This window comes from Homo sapiens, chromosome 3 (assembly GCF_000001405.40).
Source record: "Homo sapiens chromosome 3, GRCh38.p14 Primary Assembly".
In the NCBI taxonomy this organism is placed as follows: domain Eukaryota; kingdom Metazoa; phylum Chordata; class Mammalia; order Primates; family Hominidae; genus Homo; species Homo sapiens.
The window spans coordinates 107,331,085-107,351,241 of record NC_000003.12 but is presented as its reverse complement, the minus strand read 5'-3'; positions in this window follow the sequence as shown (position 1 = coordinate 107,351,241).

Below are 20,157 nucleotides of genomic sequence, written 5' to 3'. Positions count from 1 at the left end.
TTTCTTGAGCAGCACACACAACATTAATCATAAAAGAAAATATTGATATACTAGAATACTTTAAAATTAAGAAAACTTGTTCAGCAAAAAGATAGAGTGGAAGAACATACTTATAACACTTATAATCAACAAAAACCTTATGTTCAGAATGTATAAAAAACTTTTACAAATGGATAAGACATGGATAAGAATAAGAGATTTAAAAAGATGAAACATCACAATAAATGTAATAGAAATAATGATGAGAGAAAAATAGTAAAAATTAGTGCAGAAAATAAGGAGAAACAATCAAGCAATAGAAATTATCAACCATGTTAGTTTTTGAAATATTAGTGAAGTAAATAAATTTTGGCTAGATTGATAAACAAACAACACATAAATAATATTCATAGGCTGTGCACAGTGGCTCATGCCTATAATCTCACTTTGGGCACTTTGGGAAGTCCAGGTGGGAGGATTGTTTGAGCCCAGGGGTTTGAGACCAGCCTGGATAAATAGTGAGATTCCATCTCTACAAAAAATTTAAAAAATTATCTGAGTGTGGTGGCACATGCCTGTGGTCCCAGCTACTTGGGAGGCTGAGGCCAGAGGATCACTTGAGCCCAGGAGGTCGACGCTGCAATGAACCATATTTGTACCACTTGCACTCCAGCCTGGGCAACAGAATGAGATGCTTTCTCAAAAAAAATAGTAATATTAATAATAAAATTGACATAGCTATGGATCTGTACACAATAAAAAGATAAAACAATGAACAATTTTGTGCCAATATGCTAAACACTTAGAAAAAATGAATAATTCCTTAGAAAAAGGATTTATCAAAACTGACTCAGAAAAAAATGAAAGCCTGAGTAGTCTTAAAATTATTATCTTCATACAAAAAACAACAGGCAAAAATGGTTTTAGAAGAAACCTCTAACAGGCATTTAAGGAGCAGATGATTAAAATCATACTAAGGGTTTTCTTGCAAATAGACAAGGAGGAAATCAAACTCATGTTATTAGGCTAGTTTGGTCTTGATAACAAGATCATAAACAATTATTGTGGTAGGTAAATCATGGATGCAAAGTCTTTGAAACTACTTCCATAAAGAGTTAGGTTTACCTCTCCTCTACAGTATTTAATGCTTACACTGCCTTTTTTTAGAACTAATAAAGCATGGCAGAAGTGGTGCTATGATAATTCTGGACCCAGCTTTTAAGAGGACTGATGGGTACTACCTTGGTTGCTTGGAGCCCTGAACTACTGTGGAAGAAGCATAACTATCCTGTTGTATAGACTATGCAGTGAGACCCTGAGACTATATGGAGAAGGAGAGGGGCCCAGCTGAGCCCAGCATTCCAGGCTTCCCTGCCAATGCACCAGGCATTTGATTGAATTTGTCTTGGACTTCAGCTCAGTTCAGTCACAAGCTGACTACCACTGAGTGATCTTAGTTAACGGCATAAAGAAATGAACAATTTCCCAGAGAAGCCCTGCCCAAATTTCCAACCCACAAAACCAGGAGACATAATAAAATAGTTGTTACTTTAAGCCTCTATGGGTGGGAGTACTTTGTTATGCAGCAATAAAATAGCTGGAACAGACTGTATGGGGGAGCAAATTTGTAGTCCAATATCAGACATGAACATAGATGCAAAAATCCTAAACAAACTATTGGCAAATCAAATCCAGTGATATATATATATATGCCAAATTGGGTTTATCCCAGGTATGCAAGGGAGTTCAATATTAGAAACTTCACTAATGTAACTCACTGCAATAATAGATTAAAGGGAAAAAGCATAATTTTATTTCAATAAGTGAAAACAAGGCATTTGAAATGCCAATGCACATTCACTATAAAAACTCTTAACAAAATAGGAATAAAAAGGTCTTTTTTTAATCTGATGAAAATTCTCTGCCAAAAATGAACAGAAGGCATCCTTTTAAATGGTAAAATGTATTAGCATTTTATTTAAAATCAGGAAAGTTGTTTATCATCAACATTTCTGTTTAACATTGTATTAGAGATTCTAGCAAATACGTAATTTGAAAAAATATTTAAAATACCATTTATAATAGCAATAAAAATAGGCAAATAGGTACAGAGTAACAAATCTAACAATAAGTAGACAAACCTTTATGGAAACAATTTAAAACTTTATTAAAATATATTAAAGAAGACCTATATAAATACAGACATAACACTTCATGAATAGAAAGACTAAATATCATAAAGATGTATGTTTTCCCCAAATTAATCTTTAGACTAATGAAATTCCAGTAAAATTCCAATGGTGGTTTTAGTGAAACTTGACAAGCTGATTCTAAACTTTTGTATGAAACAGCAAAATCTCAAGAATAGGCAAGACATTCTTAAAGAGGAAAAATTTAAAAAAATAAATTTGGGAGGACTTGCCATGTTAGATATCATGATATATTATGAAGTTATAGTAGTTAATATACTTCATATTTGTGAAAGAATAGGCATACTCATTGGTGGAACCAAATAGAAAACGCCCCAAAATATGTAAACATATAATGTTATATGCATAATGATATCTATAATAATCAAGGAATACTAAATGTGGTAGAGATATTTCAGTCGAAGCTCTAAACTAAATAAACCATTTGTCATTAAAAAAAATCACTCAGAAGAGATAGTATATGCCAGGAAATCTGATTTTAAGGACAGGGAATTTATGACAACTAACCACAATTTTTGTATTTGCACCTAAGTTGAATACACTACTGCGTCACACCTCCAACGACTATTCTGATTTCTCTATCGCCTGACTAGCTCCTAATCATTTAAAAAATATATTTCAGATATTGAGATGTTCTCTGCTTAATTGTCTCTGGCCTACCTTAAAGAATAGCTCATCAGTCTCTTTGATGTACTGTTTTGTAAGGAACATAAATTACTAATGTTTTTGGACTTCAATCACAGTAATGCAATTTACTTACACATTTGCCCTGTTAGACTGAGTTCCTTGACAACAGATACTACCCTTTTAATAGATAACAGTTTTTGCCAGCTTCTGTACTAGATGTGTATTGGAGATACAGAAATCAATATGGATTGGGAATGTGGTTGGATTCATAAAAAGGATTAAGATAAAAAAGAAAGAAAAGGAAAGAAAGAAGATATAGTAGCATTTTAAAATTATTTTCCATGGTCTAAGCAGCATGCTAATCACATTTACATGTAAGGAGTCGTGGAATTACAGAGCTGGAATGGACTTTGAGATCATCTCTCAAACCTTCTTATTTTACAGAAGTAACTATGTCACAAAGCATTTAAGTGGCTCATCCAAGGTCATCTGACTATTTGGTTGTAGAAGGCATCAAAGTCCAAACGTCCTATCTCCTAGTTGAGTGTTATTTCCTTTACATCACACTGCTTCCTGTTCTGGCCTTTCTAAAATACAAGAACAGAATTTAGTATCCCAGACCCCTGTATATTATCTGACTATGGCTCATCATCAGAATATCCCTATGCTTCCAAAATAACAGTTTTAACTTTGCCTGAGAGGTTATTTTGAATCATTACCTTCCTATGAGAAATCAGGTACAAATGTTTATGGATTAAGTGATTTAATACTAAATTATGTGAGGTGGTTTCATCTCTGTATTATTCATAAAACCCAAATGTTATCAAATTATTCTAATTTATGTTAGGGAGAAAAATATCTGTATTAACCCTGGGCTAGACAAGTAGCATTATTCTTATTAAAAAACTCAAGTATATGTAAATTTACGGAATTCAGCTTTTTTTTCCATAGGTTATTGGGGTACAGGTGGTGTTTGGTTACATGAATAAGTTCTATAGTGGTGATTTGTGAGCTTTTGGTGATACTTTGATTACATGACTGTTTATGATTACATCAAATCAAAGCCTTTCCCTAAAATTTGGTTTCAACCTGGTTTATACTCAATTAGTTAAGACACTTTTATTTAATATTTGCTTTTTTACTTTTGCATGCATGAAGTTTAATAATTCATCTAATTTGACTTAATTTTCTAAAGCCTGGAGTGTTTTTGAATAAGCTTTGCCTTTGGTTCCTATTAGGATTTCTCTTTTCTCATAAATAACTTGATCTCATTTAGATTGCAAGAAATACACAGAAAAAAAAGTAAATATTTTTCCTGGCTCATAATGATGTCTCAATTTTTATCTGTCCCGTTGAACCACCCAGTTAAGTAAAAATAAAAATTTTATGCATAATACAAAGTTTTAGATGTTAGACCATTAGGCACTTCCAAATAGCTACTGATCATTTGTCAGAGACCCGAACTCAGCTAAGTAAGTTTCTTTTACTGGAAACAAAACAAAACACAACCAATGACAGCATCAGAGTTCGCTGTAGACTGCTCAGCTGGGATATATTCAATTCAGATACCAAGTCCTACCTGGAAGTGTGAGTTAATCTAGAAAGCACAGAATATTTCCTGTTCTCTGGAAACAGAACCTGTAAGAAGGGGAACCATTGTGCACAGAGATAAAGCATACTCAAAACACCACCTCACTTCTGTATTCTGAGTCACTACAGATATTGACTAACACGTCCCCAGACTGCTGAACAATGTATTGGAAATTTTCTCCTATCTTCCCTGACCCCTCCAAAAGTGAGTATTTGATTAATCCATTTTAAGGTCTGAAATTCTCAATTTTTCCTAAAACAAAATTTCTGAAAATCTAACTATATCAGTAGCAGATTGCTAAGGAAGGTATATTTATTAAAATCTTCAAAAGTGATATTGTTTGAATGTCACGAATATGATTTGACTCCATCTATTTCCACTGTGTGTGTGTCTTAATTTGTGTTTTATTATGTTTTCTCATTTATGAATGGGATAAATAACTTTCCTGGGGCTGATAGCAAAGAGAGCTATTCCGAAGCCAAAATGATTGTGGTTCTGTTGCTGTACCCTGCCACTCTGCTCCTTTGGGGGAAGTGCCCTGTGGTTTTGCCAGGGGCAGACAATCCCATAATCACACACCCAATGCCCTGGTCACAGAAGTAGATAACCAGCCAGACTGAGCCAATCACAGTGGTTTCTGTGGCCTGGCCAGGGGCAGCCAGGGGTCTAGAGCAGGTTGGCCAGCATCCTTCTCTAGGGAGTTCTAATCAGAAGCTGGGAGAGAAAATGTGTCTTTTCTATGTGTTCAGGAGCTGTGAAAATGTGGGATGTTCCCTGCCACATGAAAAAACTGAGAGCAGTGGCATTATGCGGTGATGAATAAAATAGGGCAAACAGAGAGAGACAAAGCAGACAGGGCTGACAATGTTTGAATTCTTGTTTCTGGCGCTGTCCCCACAGGGGCCCTCGTTCCTGTTGTTCTTTCTTCAATTTGGGGGCATAACCCAGGTTCTTCAGGAAATACCCTTTCACTCAAATACATTTCTTTCCCTTTGCTTTTCCTTTTTTTCTCTTTCTGAAAATAAAAAGCATAGGCCATTAATTTTGGATTTTTAATTCTATCTATGTGCTTATATAAGGCATTTACAACAATATTTTTTCCTTTGGACACTATATCCCATCAAGGATAGGCAGCATGTATAATTTTCATTCAGTTCAAAATATTTTCTAATTTTCCCTGCAATACTTTTGTTTTGACCCATGGATTGTTTAGAATTGTGTTAATTTCCACATATTTGGTGATTTCCACATATTTTTTGTGATTGACTTGTAAAATTGCATTGTTGTCAAAGAACACGGTCTGTCTGATTTCTATCTTTTTAATTTTATTGAGACCTATCTATGGCCCTATATGTGGCCTATCTCTGTGAATGTTCTTTGTACAGCTGACTAGAAAGCGTATTCTGCTCTTTTTAGGCGAAATGTTCCAAAAATGTCTATTAGGTCTACTTGATTGATGGTGTTGGTCAGTTCCACTACATGCATACTCATTTTCTGTCTACTTGTCCTATTACTGAGACAGGAATGTTGAAGTAACACTCAAATGGATTTGAGTTATGTTTTCTGGATAATACAATTAGTTGCCTATTTAAAAACAAAACAAAAATAAGTATAAAAGGCTGCTAACAGTAGGCGCTGTTTTAGAGAGTCGTGTATTTATATCTTACGTGAGCAGTGGACAAACAGCAACATGCTCAAGAGTTTCTTCCTTGTTTTGTTAGTTTATGGAAATGTTGGGAGATAAGAAAATATTCAGAAATGGCTTCTTTCTAGGGGTCTTCACTTCTTATAAGAGGCTCTTGGATGTCAGGCCAAGTCTGGTAGTGGGTGGGAAGTCTGGTTGAGTTGGCTACACTCTCTAGGCAGCAGTGCTTCTTCTGGTCTACACCAGCATCCTAAGACTACCCAGGAATGCACTGAAGAGGAGTGACTCACTCACCCACTCAGCCCAATTAGAGTGGTACCAAAATGAGCTTTCATGGAAATTTGCAGCACTGATGTTGTATTCAAAGCTTCTCTCCTTATTATTAGCACATTTATAAACAAAATTTTAGGCAGAAATTGTATGATAGTGTTAGCTCCTGTAGCTTCATAATATTTCAGCAAGGAGGCAGGTATTATCTTGTTTACTAGAGAGAGGGACACAGAAGACCGAGAGAAACAGGTACTTCCCCCAGTCTTCTGAGTGGTGTAAATGTAACAACAACAGTATGTTGAAAAATGATATGTCATTGGGAAGCATAGCTTTGTCGAGCTCACGTGCATGCTCTGAAGTTCCTGTAATAAAAGTAAAATGCTTTTAAAAATTATTTTGAAAGCTGCTACATTTCTGAAATATGCTATAATAATATCAACTTCTGGCAATGGAGCTGACGTATTTCAGCTCAAAGTACACACATACAGATGTTATTTTTAAAACAATAGTTCAGCAATTACCCTCATGCGGTCACATTCCTGATTTTATTGAGTGGCAGTGCTTGGGAGGAAATGTTGGATTTTAATTGATGATATCAATATGAAGTTTCATACAATAAAAATGAAGGCAGGGAACAAAGGCAACATATACTTGTTTGACAATATTTGAAAGCAATGTCAAGTTGTGGTGAGATTCTCCTGCCCATTTTAGGTAGAGTTTTGCAGTGTGTTGTTTGCTTAGATTAGAGTTTAATTCAGTATTTAAAAAACGTTGCTTATTTTTGTTCTTAACCATCATCATAATAGATCTGTGATTATCTGATTTTATAGATGGTAGGATATTTTTTGTGGGACTCGGTTTCATTTAAACAAGCTGTCTTCCATGTAACATATGCTTTTGCTAGTGGATCATAATAGTTATTAATAAAAATTAATGCATTGTGTTTATTCATCTATTTCATTGGAAACAATTGATAATCTTTCTTAATTACAAGACAAAATGAGTTCCAATGATTGAACTAAAAAATTGAGACAAATTTAAGGAGTGAAAGGAATTATTATCCTTGACTAAATGCAGGTAGTGATGTAATTTCTTTGTACATTGATGTGAATATCATTACTGAGTTATGTTTTTATTTGTGTGTAATTTTAGGATTCATACGCATGTCCTGTAAGCAACTTTTCTTTTTTTTTTGAGATGGAGTTTCGCTCTTGTTGCCCAGGCTGGAGTGCAATGGTGTGATCTCGGCTCACTGCAATCTCCACCTCCCAGGTTCAAGCGATTCTCCTGCCTCAGCCTCCCAAGTAGCTGGGATTACAGGCGTGCACCACCGTGCCTGGCTAATTTTGTATTTTTAGTAGAGATGGGTTTTCTCCACGTTGGTCAGGCTGGTCTCAAACTCCCGACCTCAGGTGATCCGCCTGCCTCGGCCTCCCAAAGTGCTGGGATTACAGGCATGACCCACCGTGCCCGGCCTAAGCAACTTTTCTAAGAGAGAAGTTGTCTTGGAATATGAGTGGGTTAAATGGAGGTTCCCATATGGATATCATGTAGACAAGCACCATCCAAAGTGTGGTCTGTGGACCTTCATTGTCTTCATCACCTGGGAGCTTGTTAGAAATTCAGAATTGTGCTGAATCAGAATCTCTTTGTTGGCGAGGAGCTCAGGAATTTGTTTTAACAAGCTCTTTTTTGTGTGATTCAATGAATGTTAAAGTTTGAGGACCATTGATCCACAAATTATACATTTCCGTGCTGGTATCAGGTATAAGAGCTGACTCAGACTCTGTATTCAACAACCATCCTAAGATCTGGGTTTTCCCCTTCTCCCATGGACACTTACCTGAATAAATAATCAGATTCCTTTAGGGAAGAACTGGTTAATTACTACCGTTGTGTCTCGACTACTTCCTCATGGGGACCTGCTCATTCCTTCAGTAGATGGTTGAGTCAAAGACCTGGCTAGGGATTGTGATACTCCATTGGGGCAACTTTATTTATAGAGTTGTTAGTTTTTGAACCATCACTACGATACAGTTTTAGAACATTTCCATCACCCCCTCCTCTTAACTTCTCTTCAGGCTATCTGAAATCAATCCTTTCTGCCACCTTTATTTCCAGAAAACCTCTGATCTGCTTTCTGTCTCTACACATTTGTCTTTTTCTTGAGCATTTCATATGAATGGAATCATACAATGTGTACTCTTTTGCATTTGGTTTCTTTCAGTTTTCATAATGTATTTGAGGTCCAGCCATTTTGTAGCAAATACCAACATTTTGTTCCTTTTTGTTGCTCAATAGTATTTCATTGTATGAGGATCACATTTAGTTTATCCATTCTCAGGTTGATGGATGTTGGATTGTTTACAATTTCAGAATATTATGAATAATGCTGCTAGGAACATTTGGGTACAAATCTTTGTGTGGACATACTTCCAGGTCTTGTGGGTGGATACCTCAGAGTGGAATTCCTGGTCGTATTGTTACCGGTGGCAGGTGTCCTGGTTCTTGGCATTTTGAACAAAGAATTGGACAAAACACACAAACAAAGCAAGGAAAGAATGAAGTAACAAAAACAGAGATTTATTGAAAACAAAAGCACACTCCACAGGGTGGGAGCCGGCTTGAGCAAGCGGCTCAAGAGCACTGGTTAGAGAATTTTCTAGGGTTTAAATACCCTTTAGAGATTTCCCATTGGTTACTTGGTGTATGCCCTATGTAAATGAAGAGGATGAAGTGAAGTTACAAAGTTATTTACTTGGTGTACGTCCTATGCAAATGAAGAGGATGTTTGCTACCGTAGCTGAAGTGAAGTTACAAAGCTCTTTATTAACACTTGGGTTTAGAAGGTTGGGGTTTTTCAGTTTAATTTAGTTCTAGGAATTCTTTAGGTTCCCTGTATGCAGAGCTTATTTCCTGCCTCAATATCACTTCTTATCATTGCTATTGATTACCTGAAATAATCAATACATTTACAAAATATTACTTCAAATGTACAATTTGGCTGAGAAAAATTTTTTATACATCACTTTACTCAGATCATGTCAGACAATTACAAAAGATTTTCTTACTGTACAATACTGGTAGATTCATCAGTTTTCAGAGAATTTTATTGACTTTGTCATTCTCTGAATAATAATTGGTCCTTTACTTTCTGTTCATAGCTGCAATTCCAAAATAGACTCTTATTTGACAGAGGCACTTTATCAATCATTTTGCTTGCTTTGTCCCCAGTCACTGCTTTTGCATTTATTTGCCTGTAGGATTATATGTGTTTCATCAATTATTTTACAACAACATAGGGAAGGTTTCTCCAGCTTTTGTATTCTTATCCGTATTACACACATGTTAGTTCCTAGGATGCCTGAATGTTCTTCTACTTTGCCTCAGAAATTTTAATAAGTTTCTCATAATGTTCTTTGTATGTGTCAAATGACACCAGTATTTTGAGACACAACCTACAATGAAATAGGTTTACTCTCAGCTGGCAAGTAAATTGCAAATTTCAAACTATTTTTGTCATTTTTGTGTAATGTTATTTTTGTTGAAGCTTGCATTTTATAACACAAACAGGTGATTCAGTCATTAATTAAGTTTTGCTATGATCAACACTAGTGCTCATATTTTTATAAATCTCTTCTATTATGTCCAGAAATTTTTTAAACCTCTTAATCATAATAGAATCAATTTTTTTTTTTTTTAAAAAAAAGGGTTCTTCAAAACCACAATGCGATACCACCTCACACCAATCAGAATGGCTATTATTAAAAAGTCAAAAAATAACAAATGCTGACAAGGTTGCAGAGAAAAAGGAATGCTTATACACTGTTGGTGGGACTGTAAATTAATTCAACCATTGTAAAAGACAGTGTGACAATTCATCAAAGGCCCAAAAACAGAAATACCATTTCACCTAGCAATCCCATTAGAAGGCATACACCCAAAGAAATATAAATCGTTCTGTTGTAAAGACACATGCACGTGTATGTTCACTGCAGCACTATTCACAATAGCAAAGACATAGAATCAACTTAAGTGCTGATCGGTGGTAGACTGGATAAAGAAAATGTGGTATATATACACCATAGAATACCATGCAGCCATAAAAAAGAACAATTGTGTCCTTTGCAGGAATGTGGTTGGAGCTGGAGGCCATTATCCTTAGCAAACTAACACAGGAACAGAAAACCAAACACCACATATTCTCACTTATAGGTAGGAGCTAAATGACGAGAATACATCGACACATAGAGGAGAACAACAACACTGGGGCCTATAGGAGGGTGGAGGGTGAAGGGTGGGAGGAGAGAAAGGATCAGGAAAAATAACTAATGTCTTAATACCTGGGTTGCAAAATAATCTGTACAACAAACCCCCCATGACACAAGTTTACCTATATAACAAACTTGCATGTGTATCCTTGAACTTAAAAGTTAAATTAAAAAAAGAGTCCAACCTGGATTATAGTTCATGATAATGTATATGTACATTTGACTTCTAGAAGTGCTGAATTGATGTATCACTAAGAAATACATGATGATAAGACAGAAAATTCAATATTATGAGAAACTATAGTGGTCATTTGTATATTCACAGTTTCCTTACATCCAAGGCAGACATTTTAATTATTGACACTTCGATCCATTCATAGGTCAGCATAAGTAACCAGACTCAGTCCATGGCATTACATATATTGGCATTACAGCAAGTAATACCATTTATAAATGATATAACCTTGCCAGTATCTGTTATTTTAAATTTTTAATAGTAGCCATTCTGACTGGTATCACATTGTGGTTTTGAAGGACTCTTTTTTAAAAAAAAATAATCCTTCTTTTTTTTTTTGAGACAGAGTCTTGCTCTGTCCTCTAGGCTGGAGTGCACTGGCACAATCTCGGCTCACTACATCCTCTGCAATTCTCCTACCTCAGCCTCCCGAGTAGTTGGGATTACAGACGCCTGCCACCATGCCTGGCTAATGTTTTTCATTTTTAAAATTTTTTTTTATTTTTTATTTTAATTTTTAATTTTTTTAATTTTTTATTTTATTTTATTTTATTATTATTATACTTTAAGTTTTAGGGTACATGTGCACAATGTGCAGGTTAGTTACATATGTATACATGTGCCATGCTGGTGTGCTACACCCATTAACTCATCATTTAGCATTAGGTATATCTCCTAATGCTATCCCTCCCCCCTCCCCCCAACCCACAACAGTCCCCAGAGTGTCATGTTCCCCTTCCTGTGTCCATGTGTTCTCATTGTTCAATTCCCACTTATGAGTGAGAATATGCGGTGTTTGGTTTTTTGTTCTTGCGATAGTATACTGAGAATGATGATTTCCAGTTTCATCCATGTCCCTACAAAGGACATGAACTCATCCTTTTTTATGGCTGCATAGTATTCCATGGTGTATATGTGCCACATTTTCTTAATCCACTCTATCATTGTTGGACATTTGGGTTGGTTCCAAGTCTCTGCTATTGTGAATAATGCCGCAATAAACATACATGTGCATGTGTCTTTACAGCAGCATGATTTATAGTCCTTTGGGTATATACCCAGTAATGGGATGGCTGGGTCAAATGGTGTTTCTAGTTCTAGATCCCTGAGGAATCACCACACTGACTTCCACAATGGTTGAACTAGTTTACAGTCCCACCAACAGTGTAAAAGTGTTCCTATTTCTCCACATCCTCTCCAGCACCTGTTGTTTCCTGACTTTTTAATGATTGCCATTCTAACTGATGTGAGATGGTATCTCATTGTGGTTTTGATTTGCATTTCTCTGATGGCCAGTGATGGTGAGCATTTTTTCATGTGTTTTTTGGCTGCATTAATGTCTTCTTTTGAGAAGTGTCTGTTCATGTCCTTCGCCCACTTTTTGATGGGGTTGTTTGTTTTTTTCTTGTAAATTTGTTTGAGTTCATTGTAGATTCTGGATATTAGACCTTTGTCAGATGAGTAGGTTGTGAAAATTTTCTCCCATTTTGTAGGTTGCCTGTTCACTCTGATGGTAGTTTCTTTTGCTGTGCAGAAGCTCTTTAGTTTAATTAGATCCCATTTGTCAATTTTGGCTTTTGTTGCCATTGCTTTTGGTGTTTTAGACATGAAGTCCTTGCCCATGCCTATGTCCTGAATGGTATTGCCTAGGTTTTCTTCTAGGGTTTTTATGGTTTTAGGTCTAACGTTTAAGTCTTTAATCCATCTTGAATTAATTTTTGTATAAGGTATAAGGAAGGGATCCAGTTTTAGCTTTCTACATATGTCTAGCCAGTTTTCCCAGCACCATTTATTAAATAGGGAGTCCTTTCCTCATTGCTTATTTTTCTCAGGTTTGTCAAAGATCAGATAGTTGTAGATATGTGGCGTTATTTCTGAGGGCTCTGTTCTGTTCCATTGATCTATATCTCTGTTTTGGTACCAGTACCATGCTGTTTTGGTTACTGTAGCCTTGTAGTATACTTTGAAGTCAGGTAGCATGATGCCTCCAGCTTTGTTCTTTTGGCTTAGGATTGACTTGGCGATGCGGGCTCTTTTTTGGTTGCATATGAACTTTAAAGTAGTTTTTTCCAATTCTGTGAAGAAAGTCTTTTGTAGCTTGATGGGGATGGCATTGAATCTATAAACTACCTTGGGCAGTATGGCCATTTCCACGATATTGATTCTTCGTACCCATGAGCATGGAATGTTCTTCCATTTGTTTGTATCCTCTTTTATTTCATTAAGCAGTGGTTTGTAGTTCTCCCTGAAGAGGTCCTTCATGTCCCTTGTAAGTTGGATTCCTAGGTATTTTATTCTCTTTGAAGCAATTGTGAATGGGAGTTCACTCATGATTTGGCTCTCTGTTTGTCTGTTATTGGTGTATAAGAATGCTTGTGATTTTTGTACGTTGATTTTGTATCCTGAGACTTTGCTGAAGTTGCTTATCAGCTTAAGGAGATTTTGGGCTGAGACAATGGGGTTTTCTAGATATACAATCATGTCATCTGCAAACAGGGACAATTTGACTTCCTCTTTTCCTAATTGAATACCCTTTATTTCCTTCTCCTGCCTAATTGCCCTGGCCAGAATTTCCAACACTATGTTGAATAGGAATGGTGAGAGAGGGCATCCCTGTCTTGTGCCAGTTTTCAAAGGGAATGCTTCCAGTTTTTGCCCATTCAGTATGATATTGGCTGGGGGTTTGTCATAAATAGCTCTTATTATTTTGAGATACGTCCCATCAATACCTAATTTATTGACAGTTTTTAGCATGAAGGGTTGTTGAATTTTGTCAAAGGCCTTTTCTGCATCTATTGAGATAATCATGTGGTTTTTGTCTTTGGTTCTGTTTATATGCTGGATTACATTTATTGATTTGCGTATATTGAACCAGCCTTGCATCCCAGGGATGAAGCCCACTTGATCATGGTGGATAAACTTTTTGATGTGCTGCTGGATTCGGTTTGCCAGTATTTTATTGAGGATTTTTGCATCAATGTTCATCAAGGATATTGGTCTAAAATTCTCTTTTTTGGTTGTGTCTCTGCCCAGCTTTGGTATCAGGATGATGCTGGCTTCATAAAATGAGTTAGGGAGGATTCCGTCTTTTTCTATTGATGGGAATAGTTTCAGAAGGAATGGTACCAATTCCTCCTTGTACCTCTGGTAGAATTCGGCTGTGAATCCATCTGGTCCTGGACTTTTTTTGGTTGGTAAGCTATTGATTATTGCCACAATTTCAGAGCCTGTTATTGGTGTATTCAGAGATTCAACTTCTTCCTGGTTTAGTCTTGGGAGGGTGTATGTGTCGAGGAATTTATCCATTTCTTCTAGATTTTCTAGTTTATTTGTGTAGAGGTGTTTGTAGTATTCTCTGATGGTAGTTTGTATTTCTGTGGGATCGGTGGTGATATCCCCTTTATCATTTTTTATTGTGTCTATTTGTTTCTTCTCTCTTTTCTTCTTTATTAGTCTTGCTAGCAGTCTATCAATTTTGTTGATCCTTTCAGAAAACCAGCTCCTGGATTCATTAATTTTTTGAAGGGTTTTTTGTGTCTCTATTTCCTTCAGTTCTGCTCTGATTTTAGTTATTTCTTGCCTTCTGCTAGCTTTTGAATGTGTTTGCTCTTGCTTTTCTAGTTCTTTTAATTGTGATGTTAGGGTGTCAATTTTGGATCTTTCCTGCTTTCTCTTGTAGGCATTTAGTACTATAAATTTCCCTCTACACACTGCTTTGAATGTGTCCCAGAGATTCTGGTATGTTGTGTCTTTGTTCTCGTTGGTTTCAAAGAACATGTTTATTTCTGCCTTCATTTCGTTATGTACCCAGTAGTCATTCAGGAGCAGGTTGTTCAGTTTCCATGTAGTTGAGCGGTTTTGAGTGAGTTTCTTAATCCTGAGTTCTACTTTGATTGCACTGTGGTCTGAGAGACAGTTTGTTATACTTTCTGTTCTTTTACATTTGCTGAGGAGAGCTTTACTTCCAACTATGTGGTCAATTTTGGAATAGGTGTGGTGCGGTGCTGAAAAAAATGTGTATTCTGTTGATTTGGGGTGGAGAGTTCTGTAGATGTGTATTAGGTCTGCGTGGTGCAGAGCTGAGTTCAATTCCTGGGTATTCTTGTTAACTTTCTGTCCTGTTGATCTGTCTAATGTTGACAGTGGGGTGTTAAAGTCTCCCATTATTATTGTGTGGGAGTCTAAGTCTCTTTGTAGGTCACTCGGGACTTGCTTTATGAAGCTAGGTGCTCCTGTATTTGGTGCATATATATTTAGGATAGTTAGCTCTTCTTGTTGAATTGATCCCTTTACCATTATGTAATGGCCTTCTTTGTCTCTTTTGATCTTTGCTGGTTTAAAGTCTGTTTTATCAGAGACTAGGATTGCAACCCCTGCCTTTTTTTGTTTTCCACTTGCTTGGTAGATCTTCCTCCATCCTTTTATTTTGAGCCTATGTGTGTCTCTGCACGTGAGATGGGTTTCCTGAATACAGCACACTGATGGGTCTTGACTCCATCCAATTTGCCAGTCTGTGTCTTTTAATGGGAGCATTTAGTCCATTTACGTTTACAGTTAATATTGTTATGTGTGAATTTGATCCTGTCATTTTGATATTAGCTGGTTATTTTGCTCATTAGTTGATGCAGTTTCTTCTTAGCTGCTATGGTCTTTACAATTTGGCATGATTTTGCAGCGGCTGGTACTGGTTGTTCCTTTCCATGTTTAGCGCTTCCTTCAGGAGGTCTTTTAGGGCAGGCCTGGTGGTGACAAAATCTCTCAGCATTTGCTTGTCTGTAAAGTATTTTATTTCTCCTTCACTTATGAAGCTTAGTTTGGCCAGATATGAAATTCTGGGTTGAAAATTCTTTTCTTTAAGAATGTTGAATATTGGCCCCCACTCTCTTCTGGCTTGTAGAGTTTCTGCCGAGAGATCCGCTGTTAGTCTGAGGGGCTTCCCTTTGTGGGTAACCCGACCTTTCTCTCTGGCTGCCCTTAACATTTTTTCCTTCATTTCAACTTTGGTGAATCTGACAATTATGTGTCTTGGAGTTGCTCTTCTCGAGGTGTATCTTTGTGGCGTTCTCTGTATTTCCTGAATCTGAATGTTGGCCTGCCTTGCTAGATTGGGGAAGTTCTCCTGGATAATATCCTGCAGAGTGTTTTCCCACTTGGTTCCATTCTCCCCGTCACTTTCAGGTACACCAATCAGACATAGATTTGGTCTTTTCACATAGTCCTATATTTCTTGGAGGCTTTGTTCATTTCTTTTTATTCTTTTTTCTCTAAACTTCCCTTCTCACTTCATTTCATTCATTTCATCTTCCATCACTGATACCCTTTCTTCCAGTCGATCGCATCGGCTCCTGAGCTTTCAGCTCCATCAGCTCCTTTAAGCACTTCTCTGTATTGGTTATTCTAGTTATACATTCTTCTCAATTTTTTTCAAAGTTTTTAACTTCATTGCCTTTGGTTTGAATTTCCTCCTGTAGCTCGGAGTAGTTTGATCGTCTGAAGCCGTCTTTTCTCAACTTGACAAAGTCCTTCTCCATCCAGCTTTGTTCCGTTGCTGGTGAGGAACTGCCTTCCTTTGGAGGAGGAGAGGCACTCTGCTTTTTAGAGTTTCCAGTTTTTCTGCTCTGTTTTTTCCCCATCTTTGTGGTTTTATCTACTTTTGGTCTTTGATGATGGTGATGTACAGATGGGTTTTTGGTGTGGATGTCCTTTCTGTTGGTTAGTTTTCCTTCTAACAGACAGGACCCTCAGCTGCAGGTCTGTTGGAGTTTGCTAGAAGTCCACTCCAGACGCTGTTTGCCTGGGTAACAGCAGCGTTGGCTGCACAACAGCGGATTTTCATGAACCGCGAATGCTGCTGTCTGATAGGTCCTCTGGAAGTTTTGTCTCAGAGGAGTACCCGGCCGTGTGAGGTGTCAGTCTGCCCCTAGTGGGGGGTGCCTCCCAGTTAGGCTGCTCAGGGGTCAGGGGTCAGGGACCCACTTGAGGAGGCAGTCTGCCCCTTCTCAGATCTCCAGTTGTGTGCTGGGAGAACCACTTCTCTCTTCAAAGCTGTCAGACAGGGACATTTAAGTCTGCAGAGGTTACTGCTGTCTTTTTGTTTGTCTGTGCCCTGCCCCCGGAGGTGGAGCCTACAGAGGCAGGCAGGCCTCCTTGAGCTGTGGTGGGCTCCACCCAGTTCGAGCTTCTCAGCTGCTTTGTTTACCTAAGCAAGCCTGGGCAATGGCGGGCGCCCCTCCCCCAGCCTCATTGCCGCCTTGCAGTTTCATCTCAGACTGCTGTGCTAGCAATGAACAAGACTCCGTGGGCGTAGGACCCTCCGAGCCAGGTGCGGGATATAATCTCCTGGTCCACTGTTTTTTAAGCCCGTCGGAAAAGCGCAGTATTAGGGTGGGAGTGACCCGATTTTCCAGGTGCCATCTGTCACCCCTTTCTTTGACTAGGAAAGGGAACTCCCTGACCCCTTGCGCTTCCTGAGTGAGGCAATGCCTCGTCCTGCTTCAGCTCGCACACAGTGTGCTGCACCCACTGTCCTGCGTCCACTGTCTGGCACTCCCTAGTGAGATGAACCCGGTACCTCAGATGGAAATGCAGAAATCACTTGTCTTCTGTGTCACTCACGCTGGGAGCTGTAGACCGGAGCTGTTCCTGTTTGGCCATCTTGGCTGCTTCCCCCCCATTTTTTAAATTTTTTGTAGAGATGGAGTTTCACCACATTGGCCAGGCTGGTCTCAAACTCCTGACCTCATGTTATCTGCTTGCCTCGGCCTCCCAAAGTGCTGTGATTACAGGTGTAAGCCACTATTTTTAAATTATGGTTAAGAGGTTTAAAAACATTCCTAGACATAATAGCAGAGATTTATAACAAATAAGAGCACTAGTGTTGACAATTGTAAAACTTTATTAATGAGTGAATCACCTGTTAGTGTTATAAAGTTTATTTTGCTAGTTTGTTTCCTGATAGATGTTAAAAATATTGGCCAGGCATGGTGGCTCATGCCTGTAACCCCAGCACTTTGGGACACCAAGATGGGTGGGCCATTTGAGCCCAGGAGTTTGAGAGCAGCTTGGGCAACATGGTGAAACAGCATCTCTACAAAAAATAAAAAATAAAAAAAAATTAGCCAAGCATGGTGGTATGCACCTGTGGTCTCAGCTACTTGGGAGGCTGAGGAGGGAGAGTCACTTGAACCTGGGAAGTCAAAGCTGCAGTAAGCTGAGATCCTGCCACTGCACTCCAGCCTGGGTGACAAAGCAAGACACTATCTTAAAAAAAAAAAGTAACGGTTAAAATGTTAAATCTATATAGCTAGTAAAATATTGAAATGTTAACCTAAAGTTATGTTGAGGACTAGCAGTGGTATATGGGGTGTGCTTTGGGAAATGCTGCTGTAACCTATAACATCAGGACCATGACTCACCTAAATAAACCCACCATCTTCACGTCATCTCACCATTCATATTGTGCCAATAGAAGATATAAACTGGGCCAGGCACGATGGCTCACACCTGTAATCCCAGCACTTTGGTAGGCCGAGGGGGGCGGATCACGAGGTCAGGATTTCGAGACCAGTCTGACCAACATGGTGAAACCCCGTCTCTACTAAAAATACGAAAATTAGCCGGGCATGGTGGCACGCGCCTGTAATCCTAGCTACTCTCTGGCTGAGGCAGGAGAATTGCTTGATCCCAGGAGGCGAAGGTTGCAGTGAGCCGAGATCGCGCCATTGCACTCCAGCCTGGGCAACACAGTGAGACTCTATCTCAAAAAAAAAAAAAAAAAAAAGATATAAACTGTTGGCCAGGCCAGGTGGCTCATGCCTGTAATCCCAGCATTTTGGGAGGCTGGAGCAGGTGGATCAGTTAAGCCCAAGAGTTCAAGACCAGCCTGGGCAACATGGTGAAACCCCATCTCTACAAAAATTAGCCAGGCGTGGTGGTACATGCCTGTAGTCTCAGCTCCTCGGGAGGCTTAGGCAGGAGGATCACTCGAGTCCAGGAGATTGTGGCTGCAGTGAGCTGTGATTGCACTACTGCACTCCAACTTGAGTGACAGAGTGAGGCCCTGTCTCAATAAAAATAAATAAAGACAAACTGTCATGAAGAATCTATCAGTATTCTCGATTCTTGCTTCTGAATCTAACTTTTTAAAAAATTACCAATAGTTGGAATGATTAATAAATGAAAGAGGCAAAGAAAAATTTGAATAAAACCCTCTTCCACTCTCCCCTCCACATTCATCTAACTGTGGAGCAATCAGGGTGATAAAGGAAAATGTAACTAGAGAAAGCTGGATTCCAATCCAGGTTTTTCACTTTAGAGCTCTTAAGTAGTTTAAGGGTATGAAAATAATTATATCTGTCTGGAAGGACTCTGTGAGGTTTTTTTTTGTTTTTTTGTGTGTGTGTGTGTGATGGAGTCTTGCTCTGTCGCCCAGGCTGGAGTGCACTGGCGTGATCTCGGCTCACTGCAAGCTCCTCCTCCCAGGTTCACACCATTCTCCTGCCTCAGCCTCCCGAGTAGCTGGGACTACAGGAGCCCGCCAGCACGCCTGGCTAATTTTTTGTATTTTTAGTTGAGATGGGGTTTCACCGTGTTAGCCGGGATGGTCTTGATCTCCTGACCTCGTGATCCACCCGCCTCGGCCTCCCAAAGTGCTGGGATTACAGGCGTGAGCCACCGTGCCCAGCCAAGGTTTTAAGATATCAAATGTAGCATGCCTGGCATAGGGCCTGGTGCATAATAGATATTCAAAATACTACAGGTAGTTTTATTTTTATTTTAGAGTCAGGGTCTCTCTCTGCCACCCAGGTTGAAGTCCAATGACCTGATGATCACAGTTCACTGTAACCTCAGACTCCTGGGCTCAAGCAATCCTCCCACCTCAGCCTCTTGAGTAGCTAGGACTACAGGTATGTTCCACCACGCCCAGTTAATTTTTATTTTATTATTTTTTCTTTTTTTGTAGAGATGAGATCTTGCTATGTTGTCCCAGGGTGGTCTCAAACTCCTGGCCTCAAGCAATCCTCCTGCCTTGGCCTCCCAAAGTGCTGGGATTACAGGTAGTTTTAATTCTTTTTTTTGTTATACTGGTTGAGCTAAGAATATCCCCCCATATACTTTGTGTGCTACTGTAGAAACTAAGTTACATTGTAAAATATTTTCCAAATTGCCTCTCTATTAAATATGAACAACATTTTCTTTGAAAATTCCAAAGGCATCAACAAATCTAAGGAGGATAAAGAATGGAAAAATGTAAATATTTCTAAAATATAGTACTTTTGTCACAGTCAGAATGGTTTAATAATGTGTTCAAAATGTTGGATGTTTTGAGA